Genomic DNA, 17,945 nt, shown 5'->3' with positions numbered 1-17,945 from the left:
TCCGCCTGTCTCGGTCTCCCAAAGTGCTGGGATTACAAGCGTGAGCCACCGCGCCCGGCCACCTTATTAAATCTTAATAGCATACTTGGTCATGGTGACACATGTTTAGGTTGCTTTGTGTTCTTTCGATTTCTGATTATTAAAGAGTAATGAAATAGCTATTAAAAAGGAGAAAATATGTTCATGAATTCTAAATTGTAAAAGTTGATTGGACCAATATTAAGCAAAACTCTTCTCTTTTATAAAGGAGACAAATTGTCCTAGAGTGCTTACATTTCTTCTTTCAAGAAATGATTTATCTTGCCTCGTCCATCAGTAAAGTTCTGTTCTGGGAAGATACCAGTTACTGAGTAAATAGGTGAGGCAAAGATGGAATGACTAGGGATTCAACTGAGAAGCAGGAACCTTCCGGAAGACGGTCATCAAAACAAAAACCAGGCAACAAAAAATGAGTGTGAAAAAACCATCATGGCAGGGAAACAAATCAGGCAAACAAATTCTTCTTTCACCTAACCATTTGGAATGAATATTTTATAATAAGAAATGTTGAATTCATTTTTAAAGTTAAAAGAAAAGCAGTTTATCTCTGTACTTTTTTCCCCCCACTCAGAACTGAATTTGGATCTGTTTTAATTGTTTATTATAAATTTTTATTTTTAAATCATGTATCACCATGTTGAGGAAAAGTACATGTTCTATCATTATGAAAAAAAGGAGAAAAAAGTGAAATAAGTGTGAAACAGTCAAAAACCAAGAAAGTCTTGTCATAGGCGACCTCAAGGAAGGTGAAGACAGTTGTGCACTGCACGACTCCAGATGGTGGCACAGATACGTTCCCTTGGCCACGGCTGTGTCTCTGAGACTTGAATTACCCACCTGACAGTTGCTAAGGAAATACATTTGCTTACGTGTAAACATCAAGCTATCAAAAGATCAGAAGACTTCTGAATTATAAATAAGCAAGTGAGCTCTTATCTTTAAGCTGTCTAGTTGCAGAAGGCCCTTCTTGACTTTAAAAGGATATTAATGGCACAGAGAATGAGAAGACCTTTTCATGCCAAATGTTTTTCACATCACTGTGTACCTTTATTGGTGGTTGAAAAAAAGCTTGTGTTTGTGAGGGGCTCCACTATTTTTAAGGTGCTTTTTCTTTTTATTTTTTTTAAGAGGGAGTCTCGCTCTGTCACCCAGGCTGGAGTGCAGTGGCGCGATCTTGGCTCACTGCAACCTCCGCCTCCCGGGTCAAGTGATTCTCCTGCCTCGGCCTCCTGAGTAGCTGAGATTACAGGTGTGTGCCACCATGCCCGGCTAATTTTTTTCTTTTTTCTTTTTTTTTCGGGATGGAGTCTCACTCTGTCACCTAGGCTGGAGTGCAGTGGCAGGATCTTGGCTCACTGCAACCTACGCCTCCCAAGTTCAAGCGATTCTTCTGTCTCAGCCTCCCTAGTAGCTGGGATTACAGGCGTAATCCCATCTACTGCCATCACACTCGGCTAATTTTTTTTTTTTTTTTGTATTTTAGTAGAGATGGGGTTTCACCATGTTGCCTAGGCTGGTCTCGAACTCCTGAGCTCAAGCAATCCACCTGCCTTGGCCTCCCGAAGTGCTAGGATTACAGGCGTGAACCACCGCACCCAGCCCATGCCCGGCTAATTTTTCTATTTTTACTAGAGACGGGGTTTGACCATGTTGGTCAGGCTGGTCTCGAACTCCTGACCTTGTGATCTGCCTGCCTCAGCCTCCCAAAGTGCTGGGATTACAGGCGTGTGCCACTGCGCACCCAGCCAGTGCTTTCTTTTTATTAACTTCTGTCAACTCAGTTTTTCTGTTTAACTATGAAGAATTAGAGGTAGTGAGGGGTTGAATAATTTGCCCTAGAGGACATGGCAGAGCCAGACCTGGACTTTGAGAGTTTAGCCATAAGTGATGTCTCTTGGTCTCATTCTGTATCAAGGCATGCGTAGAGTACTAAAGTAGAAAAGTAAACAACATAAAAGAAGTGCCCAATAAGTAAAAGCTATGAGCAGCTACAGAGATTTTGCCTTTTGGAGCAACCCAAGGTGAAAATATCTATTAAAATACATTAAGCTTGGTTTTTGGAAAAGTCGATAGGGGATTTTGAAACATGATAGCTGTCCATGAGGAACACTTTCTTCATATTCTCCATGTCATATTTTAGAGCTACTGACAAGAAAACTTTGCTGTGATGAAGTGCAGGGCTTAACACTTTTTTAGAGAAAACTTTGCATGAATTTTATATTATAGGTGAGAGGAAAAAAGATGTATTCAATCAAAAGTAATGGTGTCTCTAGCTTGCCAAACGATCCATTAAAGACTTCATCCAGCAAGTGTTGAGTGATGAGTATTTTATTTCCAATTCTATCTTAGTATGAAGAATATTTTATTCACCATTCTATCTCTAACACCAAGCACAGTGCCTGGCATAACAACATTTATTTGTTGAACAAATGAACACAGGTCTCTAGTTAGGTTCTGATCCTAGTGCTTCATTGAATGGCTTTGTAAATGAGACACATAATTTTTCATAGCCTTCATTTTGTCATCTGTGAAAGAGAGGGCTTTAGGTGTATTGATTTCTTAAGGATCCCTTTGGCTTGAAATTCTGATTCTAGAATCTCAAATGGAAAATTTGTGTTCACATTGCACGTGGTGTTTGGTTTTTGTTTTCAAAAGTTTGTGCATTAAATCTCAACAGCTTATTTTCTTGCAGCACAGTGAAGAGTCCCTAAGAACATATTACGTGATGGGAAATGAGAAATAACTGCACTGCAAGCCTGATGAAGGTAATTCACCTTGGGGAATAGGTGTCACCCTGAGTAACACCAGTACTGTCTCCTCAAATATGAGCCAAAAGGTGTGTCTCAGGCAGTTTTGGCAAGATTTTCTCCCTACACTCCTAGAAATTTGCAAGACAAGTTTACAGAAATTACTCCTCCCTATTTCCAAATAAAGATAATGTAATAGATCTATAGAATATTAGAATAGTCTTCTGGCCAGCAGAGGACTTGAGGGAAATAATTGGAATGCACACATTCTTTCCTTTTACGGAACAAATAAAATATACAAGGAATGTCCTTGTGGAATCCACTACACTGGGCCAGCATGATATGGCTGTAATCTTAGAGTTGTGGTTTCCAAGTTCAGCATGCTTGAGGCAATTTCTTTTTGGTATTTTGTTGGTGAACAGGATATGTGATACCATTAATTTAGCCTGTATCAAAAACTAGTTCAAGACCAACAGCTCCTTCTAGAACACAACATTTTAGGAGAATAGAGCAATGTTTCCCTAAGCAGTCGGTCATATTTCACAGAGGAGTGTTAGTTTTCTGGGGTAGTGGGTATGATTAAAAAAAAGATAGGTAGATAGGTAGGTAGGTAGATTAGATTAAATTGGATTAGATTTGATGAGATAAACAGGTTTGTGTTCAGGGGAACACGAGGTTAAGCAAGCCTAAGCAGGTTTTTTGGTTGAAGGTCTTCTCAGAACTTCTAGTATGTCAATATGCCTTGTAGATCTCTAAGTGGCAGGGACAGAGACTGGGGTACAGATTTCCCAAACATATTTGTTTAAGAAACCTGCTTTTTTCCCCCAGAATCTTTTGTGGAACTTTTGCCTCATGGAACACAATTTCAGAAATAATTTATACGTGATGACTGTGTAGAATGTTTTTCTTGTCAGGATTTTCAGTTTAGGTAAGGCCAAGGCATTTTTTTTTTACAGTACATTGAAAACTAGATATGATATCAAGAGAAAAAATTATGCTTGGCTACTTAGAATGACATACTATTTTTAATAAATTTGTATTTTGTATCATCAGTATTACTATTCAGTGTAGGGTATTTTTTATGCCCAATGCTAATGTGCTATGACTTGGTAAAATTAATTTACCCTAGGATTTACATAACCAGATTAATAAATTGTGAGTTGTAGGGAGTCTTGGAATTGCCTGAATTGACATTAAAATATTTGTTTTGAGAAATTTTTTTTTAACCTTGGTTTTACGTAACCAAGGACATACACTACATTATAAATATTGTGATGGTTTATTTTTCCAAACTTTTCTGAATGTGGGGTGCCCATTGAGTAATAATGCAAATCACCAATGACTTTGTAAAAATTGACATGATGAGTAGAACTGCAGAATTCAAAGATGATGATGATGATTTTTGAAACGATGTTTCCAGAATTGTTAAATTATGTATCAACATATGTTAACTGCAACTTCTCATGTTTAATGATGTTTACAATTAATACAATACCATACTCGCCAGTATAATACTAACAGTCATAATTAACTCAGAATAGATTCTTTGAAGTGGTTCAAAGGGCTTTTCATAATAAATAAGTAGCCTCTAATCAGCTAATATAAAGTGGGTATTTTTTAGGATGTGAGAAGTACTGGTATGTCTGATAAAACATATAATTTAGGTTGACAAAATGAGTTTGAATGATCCAGATTCACTACCCCAAGTCAGAAGGAAGTCTGACATTCCAGTGAAAGCTTTATTTAGACAGAGACAAGGAATCTTTGAGATAACAGGCTTTGGACTGTGCTATCTTGAGTGTTAGAGCTGAGTAGTTTTCCCAGAATCTCTAAGTCCTTTTTATGCTCTTTTATGAATGAATAGAATTAGTAAAAGATAAATAAATTTTTTCTTTTGGATTTCTTAACCAGTGGAAAAAATGTTGACTTTAAAAGTTCATAAAATCAAATTTTGCTTAAGAATATGTTATTTCCACTTGTGAGGCCAGCCTGGTAGACCTCTGGGATCCTTTTCTGTTCACTCACACACCACTGAGATAAGGAGTGAAGTGTGGGCTAAATAGGGCTGAGGCTTGGGCAAGGGCATTTCTGCCAGAGCACCAGAGACGTCAGCATCTCAAGGGCACTGTGGTATGGAAAAGGACGCCACATGAGTAAATTTTAAAAATATAAATATTTTAAAGGGTAAAAATGAGGGTCCCTGTATTTGAGGATATAAAAGATGAAACTGAAGAAGAAAAGATAGGGGAAGAAGAAAATGAAGAAGACCAGGTGAGTGAGAAAACACATACTCAGACCAGCGTTTGTTCCTCTAAATTGACAATGAGAAAAATGTTCTTTCTGTTCTTTTCTTTTTTTTCAAATAGGTCTTCTATAAGCCTGTTATTGAAGACTTAAGCATGGAATTGGCCAGAAAATGCACGGAACTCATTAGCGATGTAAGTGGCTGGAGTAATTTTTGTCTTATTTTGCATTGCACCTGTGGTATTATTATGTTATAGAGTCATAGAGCTGTGGGGGAAACCCTGAAATCACCTTTTAAAACACAGTCACTTTCCAGATCATGGAACAAAGTCCTGAAATTTTCAGTGATTTCCCCAAGGTCACCTATACAGAGAATTTCTGCTAGAGCAAGTCTCCTCATTCTTAATCCAGAATCCTGTCCCTTATGAGTTTTGCTGTCACGCTGGCATGAAATCATAAGGCATTGAATTGCAGTATTTATTCCATTTGAGAACCCCCAAAGATTTTAAAATGAATATAATGATGTAATTTGTCTTGGGAGGCCCTCTATCTAAATGAATAGTCATTTTTTTAACATTTTGGGGCCTTCTGAACAATCTAATGAATGGACTTGTCTTCCAGAACAGGAAAATGCATATATATATATATATATATATATATATATATATGCATATAATATTTATTTACAATTCAGGATTTGTTGATTACTGACCTGCTTGCTAAGAACCCTGATATTAGTGCAAGGATATTAGTGCAAGGGGTATTTTTGTTGTGACATTTTTTAGTAACTGGGATTGGTTGATATTACACTTTAAGGGAATCCCAGAATTATTGAATGATTGAACATATAATTTTATGTTAAATATGTAAGCTAGAATTCAAGAAGTACAAGGAAAAATGTTGCTCACCAGGGATGAGAATTTAGATGATCCTCATTAGCGGTTCTAAGAGGATTGCTGGTCCAGAGAAAGGGTAACTCCTGTAAAGTGAATATGTGCCTGTGTCTTCATTTAGAGAGATGAGCACAATACTGGTTGTTTCTGTTGTTGATAATAAGCAAAATGATCAGAATGTTTTGCACGTTTGTTTTCTAACGGAAGTCAGTCCTGGGCAGGAGGGTAGTGGTCTGGCACATCCTCCAAAGTCAACCTGCCTGGGTTGACTCCCCAGTAACCTTGGGAAGGTTATGGAACCTGGCTTGGCTCCATCCCTCAGCTGTAACATTTATAATAAGATTAAATAATGGTAATGCATATAAATGCTGAATAAACTATCTGGAACATTGTGAGTACTCCATAAATGTTAGCTGTTATTAACTACTCTGTCTGTTACTTCCTTTTACATCCATCCAATCACAATTTAGATATGACTGGCTCTTTCTGACAAACCAGAAGGCAAGCACAAAGGATGCTGGTGGAAATCATACCCTTTCCCATATACTTGACATGTGATGTAATTACCCTTTAAATTAAGTATTTCTTTGTGCTATTACTTAATAGTCATTAGCTATTGTATGTGAAAGTTCTCTGTAAATTGCAGTAATAATAAGTGACAATGACAACAACAACAACAATAACACTATTGGCAACAGTTAAGATTTAGTGACTATTGTGTGCCAGGGATTGCAGCTTGCGAGGTAGGCGCTAGGCTTTTTCTCATTTCTGAAGCGAGGAGATAGAGGCACAGAGAGGTTCAGTACCTTGCCTGGGTCACACAGTTAAGCAGAGGCAGTAATAGTTGAACACAGAGGCCTCCCTCTTTACACTGCCAAGTTATCTCTCCCTGTAGATTTCCATGAAATGTTGTTCTTCGCCTTATTATTATTATGTTACTATTATTAGTAGTAATGCTACCAACTAAAACCCTGAGTTCCTAACCTCTTCCAGCTTTGATATATTTTTATTGAAGTGCAATTATAGCTGAGCTAACTTGTGTTACATAAACCATCAGGACTAAAGTGGTAACTGTAGTTAGTAGGTGATTTGGTTGGAGTTGTTTTGGATAAGATTGTCTATCAGTGACTTTAAAACCAACATGTTGTGAGGGGTGGTGGCCTTTATCATTATGCAAAAGCTAAATCCATACATTTCACACCCACGTAGGTAAAATGAAACAGATAGGCATACTTTCTGTTTATTACAGATTTTTGTGGCATGGTAGAATGTACTACTTAAATTTAGGACATGATTATTCTGCCTTAATTTTTTTTTTTTTTTTTTTTTTTAGACAGAGTCTCGCTCTATCACCCAGGCTGGAGGGCAGTGGCACGATCTCGGCTCACTGCAAGCTCCGCCTCCTGGGTTCACGCCATTCTCCTGCCTCAGCCACCCGAGTAGCCGGGACCACAGGCGCCTGCCACTAAGCCCGGCTAATTTTTTTGTATTTTTTTTTTTTTTTTTTTAGTAGAGACGGGGTTTCACCGTGTTAGTTAGGATGGACTCGATCTCCAGACCTCGTGATCTGCCCGCCTCGGCCTCCCAAAGTGCTGGGATTACAGGCGTGAGCCACCATGCCCGGCCTATTCTGGCTTAATTTATATCTGTATACACATTCACATTTTGCTTCCGAATAGAATTCTATACTTGCTAAGATACTTATTTAATTTTTAGATTTTTTTCCTTTTTCTCTTCTTTTCTTTCTTCCTTTTTTTCCTTCCTTCCTTCTTCTTTTTTATTTTTCTGGACAGAGTCTCACTCTGTTGCCCAGGCTGGAGTTCTGTCATGTGACTGCAGCTCACTGCAGTCTCAATTTCCTGGGCTCAAGTGATTCTCCAGCCTTAGCCTTCCAAGTGGCTAGGACTACAGGTGTGTGCTACCATGCCTGGCTAATTTTCATTTTCTTTTTCGTAGAGATGGAGTCTCACTATGTTGCCCAGGCTGGTCTCAAGCTCTTGGCTTTAAGTGATTCTCCTGCATCGTTCTCCCAGAGTGCTGGGATTACAGGTGTGAGCCACCGGGCTGGCCCTGCTTCGTTTCTGTAGATGAGAGGGATGGTTTCATGGACTTCTCTTCATGGTGCAGCCTAATTGTTACTCTTTGGACTTCTTCCAGCTTTCATATATCCTTAATAACCAATATGTAATAATCAGAACTGTGCAGAGTGGTACAGATGTGGACGGTCTAGATCACGTGTAGAGCAGGATGATGTTTTGCTTAGCTTCTAGCACCCTTTATGATGCTATGAAGAGTTTCTTAGACTTGGGAGCTGCAGAAAGCTGTTAGATCAGCTTGATAATCTGTAGACCATCAGAGCCATTTCATTCCTAATTTCTGACCTGTAGCTGATAGCTTAGGACCCATCATCTTTAAATAATAGTTTGAATTATTTTAACCACACTAGGGCTAGATCTAATCTGTAGTTTTCTGCCCTCTTGCCTGGCCCTTTGAGAACTTCTGAAGTTCATCTCAGTTTGCCGTTTCCCTTACTGAGACAGCTTGGAGTCAGCAGACCTGTAGACACTGCTATATCATCCCCTTGTCAGACAATTTTATAGAAATGTTAAGCAAGATTGGCCTAGAGATCAGCCCTAGGAAGCCTGCACTGCTTAGAATTCTCCATAGAGAGAAATGTCCGTTTTTCAGGTCAAGTGGCTTCACTTTGGGCATCAGTATAAGGCATTTTTCTTTCTTTCTCTTTCTCCCCCCACCTAGTTTCTGCTTTGCACTTGCTCTACCCACATTATGGGGTTCCTCTTTGCACAACTCACTTCCCAGTCTTGAAGAACAGCTGGTCTTCTGAGGCAGCCTCTTTTATTTTTCTGTTAATCACATAATACTATTATTTTCTCAGATATATTTTCACAGATATTCTCTCTGTCATATTTATTCCTGTTAGTCTAACCTAACATTATCTAATCAATCCCTTGAATAAGTTAAACCTATCCTCTCTATTGAGCATTCAGAATCCTGGATCTAGTAGTCTTCTGATGGGGAGTCATAAAAAAGATTGGGCAAAAGGGAATCTTTTGTATGTTTCTTGTAGATTAGGCAGAAAGAGCCTTCTGCAGAGCAGGTGGACCACATCTGCATGCAGCCTCTCAGTGTTTAGTTCAAGGCTGTTTAGGGTGTTCATCTGCATGGCAGCAGGAAGAATATTTTCCAGGCAAATGAACGTTGTTGTGGGTAAATCCTTTCAATGCCAAAAACATTAAATTCTGTGGTTACTCCTCCAGAGAAAGCTTAGATGGTATCAGAAAACCTGGGAGAGTGATCTTAGCTATGTCCAGCCCAGTTAAATAATGATGGAGCCATTGTTTTTCCTTCCAGGGTGTATTGAATTTAACTTGTATGATTTCACTTGTGAAGAGCCTTTCCAGATACTTTCAGTTAAGAATTCTTGTGAAAGGAAAGATCCGCAAACATCTCCATGTCTGTCATCCGATTTCAGCCTTTAGCTAATCTCATACTCATTCAAACAAACTTGGCCAGGAGGAGGAAGCGACCCTGCACTAAATTCATCCTAATTGTAATGGAGACGTGGGATTTGTGGGTGAGGGCAAAAGAGAAGGTCAATGTTTGGGACATCTTAATGATCATAAAGTCATCAATTTTGCCCTTTTTGTCTTTTGGTGTTGGGTTGTGTATTCGGTAGGAGTGCAGATGACTGTAAAAACAGGAAAACTCTAACACAATGGCTTAACAAGTAGGTTTTTGTTTCCCCAGCCTCCACATATAAAGCCCGGAGGTAGGTAGTTCAGGCTGGGTACTATGGGTGTTATCAGTCTCCCAGGCTCCTTTCCTTCTATTCTGTCGTCATTAGTATGGTGGCTTATTCCTTGGTAATGACATCATTGCTGCTGCCTTCCCTTTGATTGAGAAAGAAAAATGTGGAAGACAGAATGTCACAGGGTTGTGCAGCATCTCTCCCTTTGTACCAGAAACACTAGAAGCACTTCTGGGAAGATTTCCACTAAAGTCACAGAGAGTGTGGCTCCCCAGGCCAAACACTGGATGGCATGACCATGCCTGGTTTAGATCAGCTTGTCCTCTGGGGCTGGGCAGGAGCCTGGCTGCTCTCATTAATCCATCTGGGCTCTTTTAATAGGAGATAATGGGAGTGGCCAGTCTATCCAATAGATGGTGTCAACCCGAAATTGTAAGATGTAGACATGGCTGTAATAAAATATAGCAATCTATTCAGTGATTTTTATTTTACCTAAGATTTGTTTCATTGACCAATATAGTTCCCTTTCAATGATCATTTCCTGTTATCTTGGTGTAGGAAGGCTACTAATATGTATCTAATATTTATATAAATATTCCTTATGTATTTAAAAATCTAACATTCTTTGCTTATTGTCATTCATATTGCACAATTCACTTGAAATCACACATGATTGTGTGTGACTTCTAACAAATTGTACAATTTCTCTTGAATTGTACAATTGTAAAGGATCTTAAATTTTAAATACACCTTCATTTAAAATATACAAATATGTGTATCTTTTTAATAAAGACCCAAGAAAAAAAAATAGAGTCTACAATTAAGACTGAGCTATTTGTCTGCCTAACAGAAGAAGTAAATACCTCACCCTTATCCAGTCCTCCTGTCCTGAACGTTCTGCATGTGTCAGACTTTATCAGGAGGCTGTAGCCACAAGCACATACCACTGCAGTGAAGAATGTGAATGTGATGGGGAATAGATGGTGGCAAAAGATAAAAATAATGAGTCAAACTTAAGCCTAATGATAGGCTATTTTCTCTCACACTTAATTATATAACGGAGATACTTTTTTCTCCATATGATCAAAATAGCCTACTATTTATCATACTGCCATTAACAGTTTAATTACTAGTGGCTGAGGAGGGTGATTTGCAGGAACCTAAAATTATGGCTAATCTCTGAGAAGAAAAAAAAGTAATTTAGTGCTCAGATAAGATAAATATGTTCTCGTGTTGATTTCATGAATAAAGCAAATGTTTAATGTGGTAGGCATCTGATATCCAAGAGTCACAGCAGTGAAATATGGGATTTTGAAATAACTTCACTTAATCTGTATCTAGTTCTACCACAGGTTAAGTAATGCCCGTCAAATCAGGCTTGCATATGGGAAAATCTCCATGTACCATTAGTGTATAACATCAATATTATTCACATCCTCTAAGAACCAGGTAGTATATACAATTCAGCTCCACTTTTGGGTTATAATTAGGGAGAACATATAATTTATCATCTGAAACAGGAACACTTTTTCAGTTTAAGTATTTATGGTCTTGGGAGGATAAACACGAGCATATTACAGAGTGATACAACTTTTAGCAAATTACCTGCATCTTCTCAATGAGTCATAGTTTTGCCTTCCCAGTTTCCAGATTGTGCAGCAATTAGTGTGACAGTGTGATTATACTTTAGGTCCTTCTCCACATTTCCTGACTTCTTTTGGGCTCAAATATCCACCCGGGTCTTCCCCCGGCATAACAATTCTGGCCTATCCCCAAAGGGGAAGAGAGTGAGTCATTTGACTTGTGAGTTGCAGAGAAGAGATGAGCAGGTTTAGCTAAGCCTCACTGGGCTTTGTCTTGCTGATCTCCAGCAAGAAGGCCTTCTGGAATGATCTCCACCACATAGCAAGCTTTCTGGGCAGGTTCAGTTCTTCTCTGCGCTCAGGAGGAGGATTGGGAAGCCTATGGGTGCTCATAAATTGGGAGGAATTAGTAACAGGAAGCCCACGTTGGCCACAATTTAAGCCTCTTCCTCTAATCAAGCATGTCTAGGTAATAACGGTAATAGTGATCCCCATTTAATTTCGCCTCTACTTCTTAATTGGTCACATCTGTCATGCTGACTACTTATTTTCTACCTTGAGGTAGGCAGCTGTGTTTCTGTTTGGCCAAAGGCTTATGTGTCAAGGCTTAAAAGCAACAAAACACCAGGACACTTGTAGGAGCGAGATGGCACATGCTTGCTAATTGCACTGGGCTGGCTGGGTAAACAGGACCCATCACCCGTAGCCAGCACGCCTGGTGTTGATGCTTAACTGGACCCTCGCTTATCTAAAGAATGGTCTTTCCTCACTATGCCTCATCATCTTTGCAATCCTGTGCTGGATAGCCGTTTATTTAACTTGGCTTGTTTTGAGGTCCCTTTCACACTTGAGTATTTACTTCAGTAAATGGACTTTATCAACCTAATTATCATTCAAAAAAGGCCATTAGAATTGTTTTTCTTTTTCTCTTCTTATGTAAATCATTCTCTTTTTTAGATCCGTTATAAAGAAGAGTTTAAAAAGTCCAAGGATAAGTGTACATTTGTGACTGACAGTCCTATGCTAAACCATGTAAAAAATATCGGTGCTTTTATTTCTGAGGTAAGGTATCAAAAGCTTGCAAACTGGCTTGCATTTATCTTTTTCTTATTATATAGATGAAAGTCTGTGCATTAAAGAGATGAAGAATAATATTTTCAAAAGCACTACTGAATGTTAGTAATAGCTACATAATTATCTAATGTGATGCGCTGTCATTTAACTCATATAGATTGACAGATTTTACTATGTATGCTTCATACATTTTATTATATATGTCTATATTTTGACTCTAAATCTTTCTTATTTATATACGATTCCTCTTGAAAAGGCATCTTTTTATTAAATAAGTAAAAGCACTGGCACAATAGTTCACTTTAGAAGTTCCATTATTTTGTTTCCTAATAGATATATCAGAGATAAATGATTGAATATCATTTTGGAAATAAATAAGATTTACCAGTTTTCTAAAATGTGATATCTTTGATAAATAATTTTAAATGTATTTAAACTATTTTGGAGTAGGATAAAGTTCAGTTCAACAGTGATACCTATTATAAAATCACAGACTGAGGAATACGCTATATTCATTTTCCAGCTGAAAAATTATGTAGTTTCTTTCTGAGAGCATTTAGAACTACAGTTTATGTTGCATTGTAAAGCACAATGTTAACGATGATGATTTCTGTGGTGAGGCATTACTGTAGTCTGTGAATAGATCACTTAGAAGAGATACGTTTGAAAAGAAACGGAAATGAAATAGTGTTGTAAATGACTGACCTCTAGTGTTTCATAAATTATGTTGGAAAAAGATCAACTGGATGTCCTTGGGATTATTTCTGCTAATGCGAAACAATTTTGAATGAAATCAGTACGTTTTCTTTCATTAAGTACCAAAATCCAAAGAGTGTGGTAGCAGAAGGCTAGCACAGGATCTGTGCTCAATAAATCAATACTGAAATCTAGCTCTGAGCAGGAAGAACATCAGGAACTCATCTGCAGATAATGGAAGAACATAGTTTGTTTGTCTTAGCTATGTTCCATTCTCCCGTGCAGATAAATACTTGATGTTCTCAATTATTGATTATGTTTCCTGAAGGAGTTAATTGCAGAGCAAAATATTGGAAGTGAGCAATCTATTGTGTTCCCTTGAACCTTAGTTTTCCCAAGAGGAAAGAGTGTTTGTCTTTAGAGTAGTGACTGAGATGGCTTAAAGACAGTGCAGGCTAGAGGTGGGTAGGCACATAAACAACAAAAAAGCACTCACTCCCCTCTCCCCCTGGAGCAGGAGGAGGCTGAGAAGACCTGAATAAAAGAACACTGTCCTTTGTCAAGTTCTAGATAGTAGATTCTAACGACTTGCATTTTCTGGAACAACTCGAATTGTTTGCTCACTCATCCAGCATGAAACTGTCAATATACACAAATAGATTTACTTTTAGAAATGTGCTTGCATTTAAATAGAAAGCCATTATGTCCTTGCATGTCTCATTGAAAGCGTTCTCTATGATAAATTGGATTTATTTCTATCTCTTCAGAATCCTGGAGTTTGTCAGCTCTGGTATCTAAAATTAAAATGGTCTGCAGATTTTAAAATCAATTCTGTTTTGGGAGAAAGTTTCTTCTTTTCTACTTATAATCACAGTTTAAAAAAATGGAAGTTTATTTATTTATTTTTTTCCTGTTTTTTTTTCCCCCAGGCAAAATACAAAGGCACCATTAAAGCTGACCTTTCTAATTCTCTTTATAAGCGGATGCCAGCCACAATTGACAGTGTTTTTGCAGGAGAAGTTACACAGCTCCAGAGTGAGGTAGGGTTTTTCTAAAGTGTTTCATGATTTTGTAGATAAAACATATAACTGGAAAAAAGCTACTTAGCGTTTTAATAAAACGTTTTCATCATGGGTGTTAAATACCAAATGAAAGTTGAAAGCAACTGATTAATGTGCTGTCAGTAGTTGCTGTTGAAATTGCAGAAAATGAAAAGGACACGCAGGTTTATGTCAGTCACATGGTACTGTTTTCTGAGTCCCATTCAATGCAATTTATAGAGCAAATCTTAATCTCATTTAGACAGCTTACATGGATGAAATTCTTATAGTAAATATTAAACTGTTCTCTAATTTGATATATGATCCCTAAGTAGAGAATATTTGAATAGCTTGTTAAAAGCCACATAAAGAGATAATGGGGCTGGACACTCTGGCTCAGGCCTGTAATCCCAGTACTTCAGGAGGCCAAGGTGGGCAGAATGCTTGAGCTCAGGAGTTGAAGACAAGCCTGGGCAACATGGCAAAAGCTGGTCTCTACCAAAAATACAAAAATTAGCCGTTTGTTGGCATGCACCTGTGGTGCCAGCTACTCAGGAGGCTGAGGTGGGAGGATTGCTTGAGCCTGGGAAGTTGAGGCTGCAGCGAACCAAGATCATGCCACTGCACTCCAACTAGAGCAACAGAGTGAGCCTCTGTCTCAAAAAAAAAAAAAAAAAAAAAAAAAGGTTGAATTCAGGATCCACAGATCTGCTTCATCAATTAGACAAGTGTTTCCTGAATTTCCTTTTCTGTAGATTGTGTTTTTCCTTTAGGATATCTCAGGCTACCAAAAATAGCCCCCATCAGGTGGAAGTTACTATTTGGTGATTGCCAGTTGCAGAGGAACTTAAGAATTGTCATCAGGTAAACTCATTTTGAATCCAGAAGGGTTTAGGAGTAATTTTCTCTTTGTAGCATATCAACACATAAGGCATTCTTAATCTATTGCATTTCCTAAAACAGACTTTCTAAATGGAATGTTTCACCTCTTTCTGGTTCATCTTAATGTTGTGTTTTCTTCACAGAACAATCAAATTTGGGGAGGTTATTTTGTTAATCTATTCTTTAGCTCTCTCAGCTACGTGAGAGCAGGGACCTCATCTGTCTCGTTCCTTGCTCTGGTCTTGTGCTCGGAAGAGTTCCTGGCACATAGAGAGTGCTCAGTAAAAACTTGTAAAATGGATTTTGTGGAATTTTAAAATTTTCTTTCTAAGGATATGCTTCCTTTTACATAGTTTGTATTCTTCATTTCACATTTTAGGTTAATAATAGTAAACACACAGAAGTTGTTCTATGCATTTCACGTGTATTTATCCCAGTCAGTCCTCAAAACAACCCAATGAGCTGTCCCCAGATTAGAGTTGTGGAGACCGAAGCACTGAGAGGTTAAGTCAGTTGGCCAAGGTGGCACAGCCAGTAAATGGCAGCGCCGGCACATGAATATGGGCAGTCTGGCCCCAGAGTCTAGGTTTTTAACCACACACTATGCTATATTTTTCCTACCATTTCTAACCCTCTTTTTCTTGTTAAGCAAGCAGTTTACTTCTTTCCCCAGAATTTCTTTTTTTAAGATGGAGTCTTGCTTGGTCACCCAGGCTGGAATGCAGTGGCTTGATCTCAGCTCACTGCAACCTCTGCCTCCCGGGTTCAAGTTATTCTCATGCCTCAGCCTCCTGAGTAGCTGGCATTACAGGCGCACACCACCACACCCAGCTAATTTTTGTATTTTTTTTTTTAGTAGAGACGGGGTCTCGCCATGTTGGCCAGGCTGGTCTTGAACTCCTGACCTCAGGCGATCTGCCCACCTCAGACTCCCAAAGTGCAGGGATTACAGGTGTGAGCCATTGCGCCCTACCTTTCCCCAGAATCTTTTTAAGTAGAGATACCTAGATAATCTTATTAAAAAAAATTTTTTTTAAGTTCTGGGGTACATGTGCAGGATGCGCAGATTTGTTACATAGGTAAACGTGTGCCATGGTGATTTGCTGCACCTATTTAATATGAACCCGTCCCCTAGGTATTAAGCCCAGCATGCATTAGCTATTTTTAAGTAGTCTGAAAATACATTACTCTTGAAAAATGCTGAGCATAGTTATTCTTTGCAGAACACCTTTAAGTGTTTCACTATTACACATTTAAATGTCCACTGTGTACCTGACTTGGCAGTAAACTAATCTCGGTTATGCAACATGCAGCTTAAAATATATGATGTCAACGTTCTGCATGGGTGACTGTGACTAATATGCCCTTTATTTTTCCTGCCAATATCTGGCCACCTAAGCACTTGCTGATAATGTGGGTCACTTTAAAAAGCAGATAATTACAACCCAACACTTGATATGTGACAAGCAACAATTAAGCAATAACGAAAGAAAAGGAAAACAATCTATTATTGCTTTTATACTTCCTTGGGAAGGTAACTTTTCCGATGTTTCCATCCTCATTTCTTTGAAAGCACACAACAGCTCTCAACTTCTTATAGCATAAATAGGGCTGTAATACACAAATCCCTGCAACATAGAACTTAACATGAAAAATAATCCAGGTTGTATATTTTGGAATCTATCATTTGTTTTGTCAGAATAGGTTCCCACTGACATTGTTAGCATGTTATCCTATACTGAAATAGACACCACTGGGAAAGGTGCATATGTACTCACAATTAGCATTGATTTCCATTGTTGTAATTAGTCACTGAACTTATTAATAAAGAAAAACCTAGACTTTGAATAAGGCGGCTACTTCAAAGATTTATGTAACTGTCATAACATTTCTTTAGATTTACGTACATCGATTTTATTATTGTTAAAATTGTGATTCTTAGAGTTTACCTAATAAGCGGGGCAAGAAAGTAGAAGAACTATTTGACAGTATCTATGATAATTAAAGGACTAACATTTACAGTGTCCAAATAGTATCAGATTTGTGATGTCCTAACTCGGAGTATTGGATGAATTCAGAAATTTAATGACATTCTGGGTTCTAATGAAAAGTCTCTTTAACTTTTGACAAATTATTAAAACAAACTTATCTTAAAGTCAATTTGCAAACACTCTCAGATGCTTAAATTCAAACTAGAATGATAAAGTTAGCTAGATGAACACTTACAGAAAATGCCTGAAAGGAAGAAATGCCAGAAAAAGAGAGAGAGATGTAGAGTTTTTAGGAGGCCATTTTATTAGCTATCCCCTGTTAACAATTTTATAAGCACAGATTACAAAGAAAGCTTCTGAAAATGAACTGGACCATGCCATGAGGTGGCGAGATCCTTCTCATTAGGGCTGTTTCAGGCAAAGGCTAAATAATGCCTTATCATAGAAGCAATTCACGCTACTCAGGCATTGGAACTGCAGCTTAATGAGAGTCTATGTTTCATCCACGGTGGTCACAGGATTCTGTTTCAGAAGTCCAGAGGTGTCTATGCTATGGGGTTAACAGCACATTTACCTGTGTCATATAAAATATAATGTAAGTTATGTTATTATTCTGATCGTCTTTGTAGCATCTTATGCTATGTTGTTAGACACTATAAATAACCATCAAGTAGAATTAAGGTGCCAGATAAATCATACTTTTCAGAGGCAAAGCCATTATTTTAATTTGCATACTTGACCTCCTTGGCCAGTAAACTTTAATTTAGAGATCTATGAATTTTCTGAAAGCGAGGGCAGGGAGAAGCTTCAGGGCATCTGTGAAACCCCCAATTTCAATGCCACATTTGGCCAGATGCTGTGGCTCGTGCCTGTAATCCCAGAACTTTGGAAGGCCGAGGTGGGCAGATCTCTTGAGCCCGGGAGTTGAAGACCAGCCTGGGCAACATAGTGAGACTCCATCTCTAAAATAAATGAATAAATAAGTAA

At 38.2% G+C, this 17,945-nt stretch overlaps 1 protein-coding gene and 1 long non-coding RNA gene across 19 annotated transcripts in view; one reads left to right on the top strand and one right to left on the bottom strand.

Moving 5' to 3' along the window:
- Window positions 1–17,945, top strand: part of NEBL (nebulette) — a 513,078-nt gene that overhangs the window by 390,869 nt on the left and 104,264 nt on the right. For 5 of the 17 annotated variants that reach the window (XR_001746995.3, XR_242691.6, XM_005252342.6 and 2 more), the window contains exons 1-4: window positions 4,871–5,057; window positions 5,153–5,224; window positions 12,233–12,337; window positions 13,975–14,085. The exons of 10 other annotated variants lie outside the window; for them this stretch is intronic. Coding sequence is in view for 5 of the 7 variants with exons in the window: in XM_005252342.6 (XP_005252399.1) it covers window positions 4,977–5,057; window positions 5,153–5,224; window positions 12,233–12,337; window positions 13,975–14,085 (369 nt within the window). In the remaining 2 variants the exon portion in view is untranslated. Of the gene's footprint in view, window positions 1–2,731; window positions 2,805–4,870; window positions 5,058–5,152; window positions 5,225–12,232; window positions 12,338–13,974; window positions 14,086–17,945 lie in introns of those variants that run through there. 2 more of the 17 variants (XM_047424443.1, XM_011519291.3) reach the window with 1 other exon arrangement.
- LOC102725112 (uncharacterized) overlaps window positions 17,240–17,945 on the bottom strand; it is a 39,354-nt gene continuing 38,648 nt past the window's right edge. Inside the window, exon 6 of one of the 2 annotated variants that reach the window (XR_007062082.1) lies at window positions 17,240–17,532. This is a non-coding gene — a long non-coding RNA (uncharacterized LOC102725112). The remainder of the gene's footprint in view (window positions 17,533–17,945) is intronic. The other variant, XR_930737.4, reaches the window with a different exon arrangement.

The sequence above is a fragment of the Homo sapiens genome, chromosome 10 (assembly GCF_000001405.40).
Source record: "Homo sapiens chromosome 10, GRCh38.p14 Primary Assembly".
NCBI lineage: Eukaryota > Metazoa > Chordata > Mammalia > Primates > Hominidae > Homo > Homo sapiens.
Note: the sequence above shows the minus strand (reverse complement) of the source record. Positions and strands in the feature narration are given on the sequence as shown.